The following is a 13,098-nucleotide window of genomic DNA, read 5'->3' on the forward strand; positions in this document are numbered from 1 at the left end:
TTTCTTCACTATTCCAGCAGAACTTTACCAGGTCTCATCATTCATCTTCAGCCTTTAGAGTGAGAGGATTCTTAAAAGAATGGTATACTTTTGTAAAGACTAAAAAATCCCTTTGCATTAATGCAGTGCTTTGTCTTTTTCCAAGTGCTTTTCATCAGCACAATCTCCAGATGTTACCATGCGCCTCCTCTGCCACACATCTTAATTTTCTTGAACAAGAGCACTTTTGTTCTAGTTCCAACAGTTTCTCTCACACTGTTCTCTAATAAAAACAGTCTGCAAAGCTTAATCCCAACCAAAAGCAATCAAAACCAAATTGGAAACAGATACACTATGAATGCAGGAACACTATATTTATTAGGTCAATAATTCATTTTTAGCAATACAAGTACAGAATATATCACAATGCTGGTTACAAACATACTTAGTATGGTTTAATAGTTACAAATAACGGTGGGCACTACAAGTTGGTGAGAATGATATGAAAGGTCATCCTGACACAATGAAGAACCGTCTTCAAAAATCTATTTAATGACCTTAGATATTTCTATAGAAATTATTGTGGCACTATTAGTGGGGATTTTCACGTAAAGATTGTTAGTGTTTTGTTTTTAACTGTTCCATTAAGAACTTTTTATTTTGAGCCTATTAAACTAAAATCCCCTGTTGCTTAATAAAGTATAAAAATAGTACTGACCTGGTAATATTTAATAAAACGTAGCATTCATTCACATCATAAAAGTAGAACTGAAAAGTTTTAGTTACCATGGCAAAATATCTTCCCATAAAAGGAATATACAGAAATGAGTAATGTTACACAAACGGTACCTGCAATGGTTATTTAGTGATCCAACACTTAACTGTGCACCACAAACCAAGTTTTCTAGATATCTATATATAGGATATATTTTTAATCTTAAATTTTACTCTTGAAAAACATGTGCACTTCAACAAACTCACTAAGGCCACTCATGCTATAGATACCTAGGATTGCAATTAAAGAATAGTATTATGCAATAAATCCTAAAGCACACTCCTTCTGATTATCAACAGGGTAAAACCAGTTTTCTGCCTAAAACATTCCTGAGATTTATGGACAAAAGAAGTACTGTTGAAGCTGGAGATTAATCCAAATGTCATATTAACAACAAAAAATTTCCTAGCCAGGCGTGGTGGCAGGAGCCTGTAATCCCAGCTACTCGGAAGGCTGAGGCAGGAGAATCGCTGGAACCCGGGAGGCGGAGGTTGCAGTGAGCCAAGACGGTGCCATTGCCCTCCCAGCCTGGGCAACAAGAGCGAAACTCCGTCTGAAAAAAAAAAAAAAAATTTCCTGGCAACTAAGTTCCTCCACAGCCAAGAGGTGAAGTACACATCCACTTCTAAAGCAAAGATAAAACCCCAAAAACTTTGTACTTATAGTGTTTTTCCAGTAGTAACTTTGCCACCCAGAAGAAAAGCAAGCAGCAAGGCTACAAATTCTAGGGAAAACATAAAAAGTGGCAGTTAATGATACCTGTTATGAGCAAATCATTATTTCTATGTATAAAGTTTCAGCCAAAGGCTTCAATCATGTTTTGGCATGTGTTCACTGCAGTTTTCTGTCTGCACTATTAAGGAGCAGCCAAATGGCACCTTCATTATTTCTAAGATCGCAGCCTCTGTACTTAATTTTCATAAAATTATAAACTTTTCCCAACAGGCTAGGAACAAAGGTCTTTCTCAAATTATTTTCACAAGTGAAAAAATACCTGGGCAGGGGTTACTACAAAGCAATAGTGAGCCAATTTTTAACCAAGCAGAGACAGAGATTTGATGGTAGTAAGGGTCTCAATCCCTTTGGCAAAGTCAGCTTTGAGGATCCATAAAGATTATGCTCTAAAAATTCCAATTGACTCTATTAAATGGAATGCAGGCATGAGTGGCCACCTGAGCGACACATGCGAGTGCTGACGGAGCTCCCTGATGCACCCAACTGGAGTAGCACCGAACTTTAGGAAAAGACTGGGTAGAAGAGTCAGAGAAGGATGAGACCAAAGGCCCCTAATTTAACATAACTTTGCTGAACCTCCAGAAAAATCTTTAAGTTGGCCAGGGCTTCCTTACGCACCTCACCATATGTAAAAAGTTTGCGCAAGTTAACTTATTGTGAGATAAATTTTATTATTTTCTTCAAGATTTTTAAGAAACCCAATAAATCATAGTGGCACACATCTAACTTATCCTAAACATCCCTACTTAAAGGATGAATCTTACACTTAAAGTCATAGGGTATTATTCTTCATTAGAACCAGAAATAATAGCACATTAAGTCATATCCCTAACCAAAATGGCAATGTTTTCTTAAGCTAGAGTGTATGCATTAAAGTATATGGATTTACAAAAAAACTACATTAAAGCAGTGGTGATAAGGAGAAACTGCCAATAATGATGTTTCAAAAAAACACAACTGGCTGCCAATTGACATTATCACCCTGTGATCCTAGGCTTCTACATACCATGTTGTTTTATCACTGAGTGTGAGCTAAGTTGAGTTCAAATGGAGTTAGGGAGGATGAGGCTGTAAGTCATTTGTTTATTTTTATCCTAGGAAATGCTGTATGTGCACAAAACCAAAAAATACAGATTGAAAAAAAAACTTCATATGGAAACATGTTTCAAAATATTTATTGAAAAACAATTTACCATGACATTCCTATACCACAAACATACCACTGGATTCTAAATAACCAATAAAAGTATACAAAGCCTATCCTGAAAATATCTTTGGAGGTATTAAATATATAGGCCCATGAGGATAGAGCTGAGTAACTTAAAAATGTTAGTCCTTGGTCACAAAGACTATTTGGTAATTAATAAAGAAGTGCCTCTTGACATTAGACTGCAATTAACTGAGGGGTGGGGGGCAGCTTCATAAACTGCAAGTACGTCAATTTACTCTTTCCAAAATTTAAAAAGAAAATAATTCGATTTGAGGAGTAAACTCAGGTTTCTAAATCACACAGTTACCATCTTAGGGTGTGGGTTTGCTTCATCTCTTTCAGTACATCCCCCAACCAACCCCCTCCTAGGGAACTTAAATGCAATGGCTCAAAACTAATAGGACTGCAAATAACAGCTTCAAACAAGGTTGGGAAGTTCAAAAAAGTGCTTAAAATATTAATAAAATTTGAAATCTACAACTTTTCTGTACTCAATGTGGCAGACAGCTTAGATTTTTTTCCCCTCTCACCCAACATGCATGTTAAAAGAAAACTAAAATTCAACACACATCCATTCACCCACAGACTACTCCAAGCATTAGCTAGGAGCAACATCTTTAACAGCCAAGTCATGAACCCCTGAAAATAGGGGGGGAACCCAGATTCTTAACTATAGAAGCATCAGATGGGCTACTACAGTAAGAATTGAGGTAACAGCAAAATACCTTTTTGTTTCTTGAATTGCTACATGTCACAAATTCTTAAATTTGATTATTACCTCATCATTAAATAACCTGACTGGCTTACAAAAAATCAAATCAAAACCCAATAAACAGAAAGACAAGTTAGTGAAATAGGTGTATTATTAGGGGATCTTTCCATTTGACTCCTAGATTTCAAATGAAATGACCTAGTTGTATTACTATTTACCATAAAAATGGAGGATTTTCTAAGACTTATTTTTGGGCATTCATTTTCATTAATCTCCATAAACCATACAGTAACCTAACATTTCCATCTGAACATGAACTATTTCATGACACACAGCCAATATACTTGTTAACTGCATTGATTATTAGGGCAACATTTAAAATGAGGGGGATGGCTGCAGCCGATATTTATAGACTTGCTTATGGCACTGCCATCTGTGTACCTTGACTAAAAATATGCCATTGAAATTGCCAAACTTCCCTAATTTGGTATCTATTACATAATTTTTGCATTATCCTTTTTCATTATACATCTAAATGAAATCATTCTACTGATAAAAGTATATGTAGGATCTAAAATAATAATCTAAAGCCTCTGGTCCAAGTAACCACCTTCTACATTAGGCTGGTCCTTTTTAGATCCTCCTGGTCCTGTTAGCAAATGCTATCAGAGCATCTTGCATTGTTGTACCAAAAAAAAAAAAGTCAGAAGTGCTGGTCTATCAGATTTTCTATTACATTACAGATCAACACTGGTCCAGTTCAGATGAATCTGACAGTCCTTTCCTTGTAATATAGAGTGGTTGTATCCACTTATCTGGGCAAGGTAGAAAAACGTAAGTCGGGATGTCCCTCTTTTATTAGTACTTGTGTTAACTTTTCTATACTGCATATAAAGATTTTCCGCATAAAATTTCTTTACACTACAGTATTGAATACCTCCACATGGAAGAATTACATATTAAAAAGTTGTTAAAATCATCCTTACATAATAAGAATGCAACTCTTTTAAACTCTTAAATAGTTTTATTTAGGGGTATTTTTTTTCTTTCAGGCTTTCTGCAAAATGAATTTTTTAAAAACAACAAAAAAAAGATTTCCTGTTGTTTGTTCTACTAGGTTGAAAATGTGGGCCAGACTACTTACACATGCGGTACATGCTGAATATAACTGAATATATGCTTATTCCTACAGACATTCTGCAAGATAGGGATCACCCAAAATAGGGTCTTCAATGGACTGGACCAGTGTTTCAATGCAAATTCCAGCCCCCCAAAACAACATGGTTTTGATTTCACAGTATGAATTCCCTGGAATCCGGGAAAAGGTAATTGGTTAACTGAGGTCCTCCCTCAGCAGCTCGGTCCCTCGACATTCTGAGAAATCAGGAAGGACTGCACCACTTCTTCAGTGGACTGGGGGCTGGTGCTGACATCTTCAAGAGCATCTGTCACTGAATATTGCCGATCTCGCAACCGGTTCCAGTTAGACAGAACATTGTGATATTCAAACACTTTCTCGTAATTTCCAATGGAGTTGTAAAGTTTAATGAGACCTCGATAATCATATTCTAGTCCACTGTAGCCCTCACCAAAAAGTTTCTTCCCTGTAACAAAAAAGAAAAAGGAAAAAAAAAAAAGCACAAATAATGAGATAACAAGCAATTTCTATAACATGAACACAAGTTCAATTCTTTAAACAGGGTGGCTTAGGTTTATTCCCCTGAAAGGAATAGATATAATTCTTGTATCAGCATCCCCTAAATCAGTCCCAACCATGAGCTATCACTAAGACTTAAAAAAAATTTTCTCGTCTAAAGAAGTTGGCCTCATTAGAATAGAATTATAAAAATTCATGGTTTGAAAGAACTGTTTAAAGAGATCTCAAAGAAGAATGGCAGCATCTCCAACAACAGAAAAATACACATGCACAGGCCAGTCATGGTGGCTCACACCTGTAATCCCAGCACTTTGGGAGGCCAAGGTGGGTGGATCACCTGAGGTCAAGAGTTTGGGACTAGCCTGGCCAACATGGTGAAAGCCTGGCCAACATGGTGAATACCCGTCTCTACTAAAAATACAAAAATTAGCTGGGCGTGGTGGTGCATGCTTGTAATCCCAGCTACTCGAGAGGCTGAGGCATGAGAACTGCCTGAACCCAGGAGGCAGAGGTTGCAGTGAGCCAAGATCAGGCCACTGCACTCCAGCTTGGGTGACAGAGAGAGACTCCGTCTCAAAAAAACCAACCAACAAATGAAAAACCAAAACACATGCACAAGGCTATTCACTGCAACAGTATTTGTAATTACAAATTAACAGAAACAAACAAAAACACGTAGAATAGTTTAATCAACTGTGGTACCTTCACTCAATGGCATATTATGTAGCTGCAAACTGATGGGGAAATTTCTGGGCTCTCTGTAACGGTTACGGAGTGACTGATGGTATATTGTTAAGATTGAAAAAAGTAAAATACCAAAGAGTATCTATAGTATGCTATCTTTTGTGTATGATAGGGAAATAAGAAAATATTTATCTGTTCATTGTGCAAAAAGATACACAAAAATGATAAACCAGAAACTAATGAGACTGGTTATCCATAGTGAGTGGGTGGGAACTGGGTAGAAGAAATCAGAGAAAATTATATGTATCTGGACATATCTTTCTGTATAGTTCTAATTACAGTACGTTAATATTTCGCATACTCAAAAAAATTAACAAAATAAACAAAGATGGATGGGGCAACAATTTAACATGTTAAATAAACCTAATTGTTGTGCAAAAGAATAACATAACCACATTGAAAGGAAAGGGGTGTAAATAACCCCAAGTAACTTTTGAACATAGTATTCTGAAAATATACTACCTTCGGGCTAGAGAAAAAGGAAAACTGTAAACGAATATTGAACTCTAAGTAGTAGGTCTGTTTTTCACAGCGGTATGGGTTAGCAACTCTTAAACTACATGCACTTGAGGAATGAGCAAGTCAGTCAATATATTATAGATAATAGGGAACCCACATGTATATGGATAAATGATTTATGAAGAACACAGTATAGCAGAGGGAAAAAAAGAGTCTTTTGGCCAGGAGCGGTGGCTCACGCCTGTAATCCCAGCACTTTGGGAGGCCCAGGCGGGCAGGCTGCCTGAGGTCAGAAGTTCGAGACCAACCTGGCCAACACGGCAAAACCTTGCCTCTACTAAAAAAATACAAAAAAATTATCCAGGTGTGGTGGTGTGCATCTGTAGTCCCAGCTACTTGGGAAACTGAGGCAGGAGAATCGCTTGAACCCAGGAGGTGGAGGCTGCAGTGAGCTAAGACCACGCCACTGCATACCAGCCTGGACGACACAGCGAGACTCTTGTCTCAAAACAAAACAAAACCAAAAAAAAGTCTTTTGAAGAAATGGTCTTGGCTTAACTCTGTGTCCATATGGGGAAAAAAATTGATCCCTACTTCACACCATAAAAAAAAAATCAGTTTCAGGATTGTAGATCTAAATATAAATAAAGTTTCCTGAAGATAATTTTCTAGAAAAAAATATCTTTATTACTTTGGGTAGAAAAAGATTTCCATATTTTTTTTTGGAGACGTAGTCTTGCTCCGTCACACAGGCTGGAGTGCACAGTGCAATCTCGGCTCACTGCAACCTCTGCCCGCTAGGTTCAAGCAATTCTCCTGCCTCAGCCTCCCGAGTAGCTGGGATTACAGGCGTACTGTACCACGCCCGGCTAATTTTTGTCTTTTTAGTTGAGACGGGGTTTCAGCATGTTGGCCAGGCTGGGCTTGGACTCCTGACCTCAAGTGATCCACCTGCCTCGGCCTCCCAAAGTGCTGGGATTACAGGTGTGAGCCACCGTGCCTGGCTGAAAAGATTTCTTAAACAATACAAAAAGTGCTATTCACAAAAGAAAACACTGATGCAGGCTGGACGCGGTGGCTCATGAGGCCTGTAATCCCAGCACTCTGGGAGGCCAAGGCAGGCAGATCACGAGGTTAAGAGATTGAGATCATCCTGGCCAACATGCTGAAACACCGTCTCTACTAAAAATACAAAAAATTAGCTGGGCATGGTGGCGGGCACCTGTAGTCCCAGGTACTCCGGAGGCTGAGGCAGTAGAATTGCTTGAACCTGGGAGTCGGAGGTTGCAGTAAGCCGAGATCGCGCCACTGCACTCTAGCCTGGGTGACAGAGCGAGACTCCCTCTCAAAAAAAAAAAAAAAGAAAATACTGATGCATCTGATTACATTAAGAACTGGCTGGGCACAGTGGCTCATGCCTATAATCCCAGCACTTTGGGAGGCTGAGGTAGGAGGATTACTTGAGCTCAGGAGTTTGAGATCAGCCTGGGCCAAGATTGTGAGACCTTGTCCCTATTGAAACAATAAAAAAAAAAAAATTAGCCGGGTGTGCTGGTGCACATCTGTAGTCCCAGCTACTCAGGTGGGCTGAGGCAGAAGGATCACTTGAACTCAGGAGATTGAGGCTGCAGTGAGCCCTGATGTGCACTCCAGCCTGGGTGACAGAGTAAGATCCTGTCTCAAAAAAAAAAAAAGAAAGAAAAAAGAAAAAAGAAAAAAAGAACTTCTGTTATTTAAAAGGCTCCATTAGGAAACAAGCAAGAATAAGAGATGATATCTATGACACATGTAACCAACGAAGGTCTGTCATATTCATATCATATAAAGAACTTCTATAAGTCAATAAGAAAATGACAAGACAAATCAATATAAAAATGGGCAAGAGTTTTAACAGGCACTTCATAAGATGATGGCCATAGATTCCTTATTTTGATTTTGTAATAGTCCTGAAATGGAAATCCAAATGTTCCAAATGTTCATTAATAGTGGAATGGATAAATGATGACATCCTAATCCAACAAATGGCAGTGATACGCAACATCACAGATTTCACCATTATTGTTCACCAATAAACCAGACACATAAAAATATACATTGTATAACTTCATCAAGTTCAAAAACAGGTAAGCCTGATCTATGATGTTAAAGGTAGGAGAAGGGAGGGGGAGGAATGAGTGGGCAGTAACTGCACAAATAGTTTAAAATAACTACTTTTGCCTACACATGACAGTCTACTGTCATACCTCTTACTACTGGCTTCAGTATCAAAAAAAGCACCTTTAGCAAAATGTTCCAGATGATTTTTGGGTGGTTCCTGAATATCCTTAGCAACTTATCCCATTTAAATCTATTTTATTTTATTAAATATTTTAGTATTTTATTTTATTTTATTTATTTTTTTGAGATGGAGTCTCGTTCTGTTGCCCAGGCTGGAGAGCAGTGGCACAATCTCAGCTCATGACAACCTCTGCCTTCCAGGTTCAAGTGATTCTCCTGCCTCAGCCTCCTGAGTAGGTGGGACTACAGACATGCACCATCATGCCCAGCTAATTTGTTTTTGTATTTTTTAGTAGAGATGGGGTTTCACCATGTTGGCCAGGCTGGTCTCGAACTCCTGACCTCAAGTGATCTGCCTATCTCGGCCTCCCAAAGTGCTGGGATTACAGGTATGAGCCACCGCACCCAGCCCCATTTAAGTCTTTAATAACATTTTCCTTATACAACATATAAGACATGCTGACATGTTGATTTGTAATCAACTGACTAAAGAAAATTTAAATGTAACATACCAATTGCTATAGATCGCAAATAAAGTTTCTCAGCATTTTCATACTGATTCATGTCATAATTATATAAAGAAGCCAGATGTCCCACTGAAAGGGCTACTTCATAATCTTCTTGACCAAGAAGTTGTTCTTTAATCTGAATTGCTTTGATGTGCATTTCTTCAGCTTCCTGAAAAACAATTATGCCATATCAATCATTATACTTTTTCTCATCTTAACAGTTCTTACTCAATGAGCAAAACTGATCTAAATGCCAAAGACATCTTATGAATGCCATAAGGTAATCAGATCAAAGAACATACTATGTTATTCCAAAAATTGCCTATGGGAAGCATTACAGAGTTTTGGAAACTGCAGATAAACTGATGACAGCAATAGTATCCTATGTCAAAAGTAACAAGTGAAAACTTATCCTGGTAATAAAAAATTGTTACAAGAAATTCACAACAAAGAAATTTGCAAAATTTTAAGAAACTGTTAGAAGAAATTAACAAAACATTCTAAAACAAAAATTACTTCCTTTGGTTAACACAGTTAACACAGTCCAAAATTTAGTTGAACCTTCTTAACAAGCTCTAGATCATAATATGTTAATTTACATGGGCATACACTTTCATTTCATTTTTTGGAATTTTGACAATTTTTATTCCAACAAACTAAACTCAAGCTAATTGAGGGATATACAGGTTGCTTTTCAGGTAAAGAAGACCTCTCACTCTTTACTTACTGTGATCCCAAAATTAATAATATTAAGAATTTATAGGCTGGGCACAGTGGCTCATGCCTGTAATCCCAACAGTTTGGGAGGTCGAGGCAGGCAGATTGCTTGAGCCCAGGAGTTCGAGATCAGCCTGGGCAACAGGGCTGGGCAATAGGGCAAGACCCTGTCTCTACAAACAATACAAAAATTAGGCAGTGTGGTGGTGTGCGCCTGTATTCCCAGCTACTTGGGAAGCTGAGGTGAAAAGATCACCTGAGCCCAGGGAGGTTGAGGCTGTAGTGAGCCATGATCACACCACTGTACTACGGCCTGGACAACAGAGTAAGAACCCATATTAAAAAATATATATATAACTCAAAATTCTAAAATACATTGAAGTTAGTCATATTTATTGCTACAACTGATAATACTTGTTGCAATATCTGACATTTCTTGCACACCTGCCATGTGCCAGGCATTCTGCTAAGAGCTATACTTAGTATATACTAAGAATTATATATCAAGAACTATATACTAAGAACTGTTTGAAATATAGCAATCATATTTGTCTTTTTTATTTAAAAAATTTTTTCTTATCTCAAGTACTACTTTCATATATTAATCTTTTTTTTTGAGATGAGTCTCACTCTGTTATCCAAGCTGGAGTGCAGATCTCGGCTCACTACAATCTCCATCTCCCAGGTTCAAGCAATTCTCCTGTCTCAGCCTCCTGAGTAGCTGGGACTACAGGTGCATGCCACCATGCCTGGCTAATTTTTGTATTTTTAGTAGAGATGGGTTTTCACCATGTTGGCCAGGCTGGTCTTGAACTCCTGACCCTCAAGTGTTCTGCACACCTTGGCCTCCCAAAGTGCTGGGATTACAGACATGAGCCACTGAGCCCGGCCTCATATATTAATCTTTTTAGTTTGACATGTTTCCTAATTTTTCATGATCCTGTTTTTTTTTTTGTTTTTTTTGAAGACAGGCTCTCACTCTGTCACCTAGGCTGGAGTGCAGTGGTGTGATCAGAGCTCACTGCAGCCTCAACCTTTTGGGCTCAAGTCATCCTCTTGCCTCAGCCTCTGGAGAAGCTGGGACTACAGGTGTGAGCCACCATGTCTGGCTAACTTTTTCTTTTTTGTAGAGATGGGATTTCCCTATATTGACCAGGCTAATCTTCAACTCCTGGCCTCAGGTGATTGTCCCACCCTGGACTCCAGTGCTGGGATTACAGGCATAAGCCACTGTGCCTGGCCCACGGTCCTGATTTTTAAATTTTATTTATATTTTGACTATTGTTTGTTTGTTTTAGAGATAGGGTCTCACTCTGTCACCCAGGCTAGAGGGCAGTGATGTGATCATAGTCACTGCAGCCTCAACTTCTTGGGCTCAACTCATCCTCCTGCCTTAGTCTTCCAAGTAGGTAGGAAGACAGGCATGTGCCACCACACCTGCCTAATTTTTGTAGAGACAGGGTCTCCCTATGTTGTCCAGGCTGGTCTGAAACTCCTGGTCTCAAAGGACCCTCCCATTTCAGCCTCCCAGAGTGCCAGGATTATAGGAATGAGCCACTGTGCTTGGCCTATGTTGTTTTATACTCACTATCTTCTCAATTCCTTTGTGCAATAAGTGTATAATTTATTTGAGCTTACTTAAAATTTATTATTTCAGGTTCTATTTCATTACTTAAGAGAGAAAAATATAGTAAAAACATGTTTCTACCTTAAATTTTCTCATTGACTGATAAAGTCTTCCAAGGTTTCCATAGTGTTTTGCAGTCTGTACATTAAATTCCCCAAAAGCTTTTTTAGCTAGTTGGAGTGAAGACAGGTGCAAATCATGAGCTTCTTGAAGCAGCCTCTGTTCAGTTTCCTTATTATGACAATCAATTGCAATCTCCTCTAAAATAAGTGCTAAAAAAGAAGGCAATAAATTAGTGTACTTCAAAACCATCTACCAAAGCTAGTAAGAACATCTAATTTAAACTTAAATAATATAAATGTTTACTGAATATATTTATATGTGATTATGGTTTGGAACTGGTCAAGATGAAAGAATTCCACTTTTAACAAAAAAGTACACTTTTTGGTGGTCATTCTATTTTGCACAGTATATATATTCAAATTTAAGAAAAACAATGGTATAAACGATTTTGCAGAATTAGCTTCTATTTTAATAGACTGCTATACTTTGCTGATGTGAAATTTGTTTTTCAAATTAAACGGAAGCACAAGGCAAGTTTTTTAAAGTCATGAAACTGTGTCAAGGAGTACCTAAGCACTTCTGAAAATTTTGAAAACACACTTTATAAAACATAACCTTTAACCAAACACGGCTAAAAGAACTGATTTCCTCCTACTCATCTGACCAACCAAATCAGGCAAGACATTTCAATTTCAAAGCTCCATTCAAGACTTTCAAATTCTATCTAAAGTCTTAAGAATATACATATTATTTTACCAGATAATTTGATTTATTGGAAAACTGTCTATGTACACAAAGGTAAGAAAAAGAGATTTACTTCACTGTAGCATTTTTTAAAAAGAAAAGGTTAAAAATAATTATAAGAGTCAAATAATAAAGGTAAGGTTAAATACATTAGAAAAAAGGATATATGTAGAGACATGAAAAAATGTAATATATTAAGTGAAAAAATCAGATTATAAAATTAAATCATTCATTTAGTTATCTTATTTGAAGTAAGAAAAGTCTAAAATAATATTCACCAAAATGTTGACTGAGGATTGGTGGGATTTTAAGGCAATTTATTTTTCTCTTTTCTATCTAACATCATGTATTACTTGTGCAACTTAAAAAATACAAACCTAGAGGGAGAAAAAACTCAGTTCCAGAATTAAGGTAGAACATATCCAACATGCACGGAAATAACACATAGGTGACCCAATCATGTTAGCAAAATAAATGCATTACGTGAAAAAGCCTTGGTGGTAATCAGAAGAAAAGTTAAAATAAGAAATGGAAGATAGGGGTATTTTGCAAGAGCCTTGCAACATTCGGGGTAACCTGATACGAAGCTCAGGATAAGAATCCTGCACTACAAAGCTGAAGTTATGAAACCCATCTTCTATTCATGTTGTGTAGAAACATTTGTATTATGCTTCCATGCAATCCTCAAAAAAATTAATGCATGCATGAGTGAATGACAAAAGGGAGAGAGAAAAGAAAGAAATTCTGGCTTACTGATTTTTTTTTCTTGAGACAGAGTCTCGTTCTGTTGCCTAGGCTGGAGTGCAGTGGCACGATCTTGGCTCACTGCAACCTCTGCCTCCTGGGTTCAAACGATTCTCCTGCCTCAGCCTCCCAAGTAGCTGGGATTA

General features: G+C 37.7%; 1 protein-coding gene across 4 annotated transcripts in view; it reads right to left on the minus strand.

Annotated features, from left to right (window-relative positions):
* Positions 1–338: 338 nt before the first annotated feature.
* Positions 339–13,098, minus strand: part of APPBP2 (amyloid beta precursor protein binding protein 2) — an 83,085-nt gene continuing 70,325 nt past the window's right edge. For all 4 annotated transcript variants that reach the window (NM_001282476.2, NM_006380.5, XM_047435116.1 and 1 more), the window contains 3 exons: positions 11,483–11,673; positions 9,061–9,226; positions 339–5,015 (listed from right to left, as the gene is read on the minus strand). In NM_001282476.2, coding sequence (NP_001269405.1) covers positions 4,762–5,015; positions 9,061–9,226; positions 11,483–11,673 — 611 coding nt within the window. In that variant the 3' untranslated portion in view covers positions 339–4,761. The remainder of the gene's footprint in view (positions 5,016–9,060; positions 9,227–11,482; positions 11,674–13,098) is intronic.

Source organism: Homo sapiens, chromosome 17 (assembly GCF_000001405.40).
Source record: "Homo sapiens chromosome 17, GRCh38.p14 Primary Assembly".
NCBI lineage: Eukaryota > Metazoa > Chordata > Mammalia > Primates > Hominidae > Homo > Homo sapiens.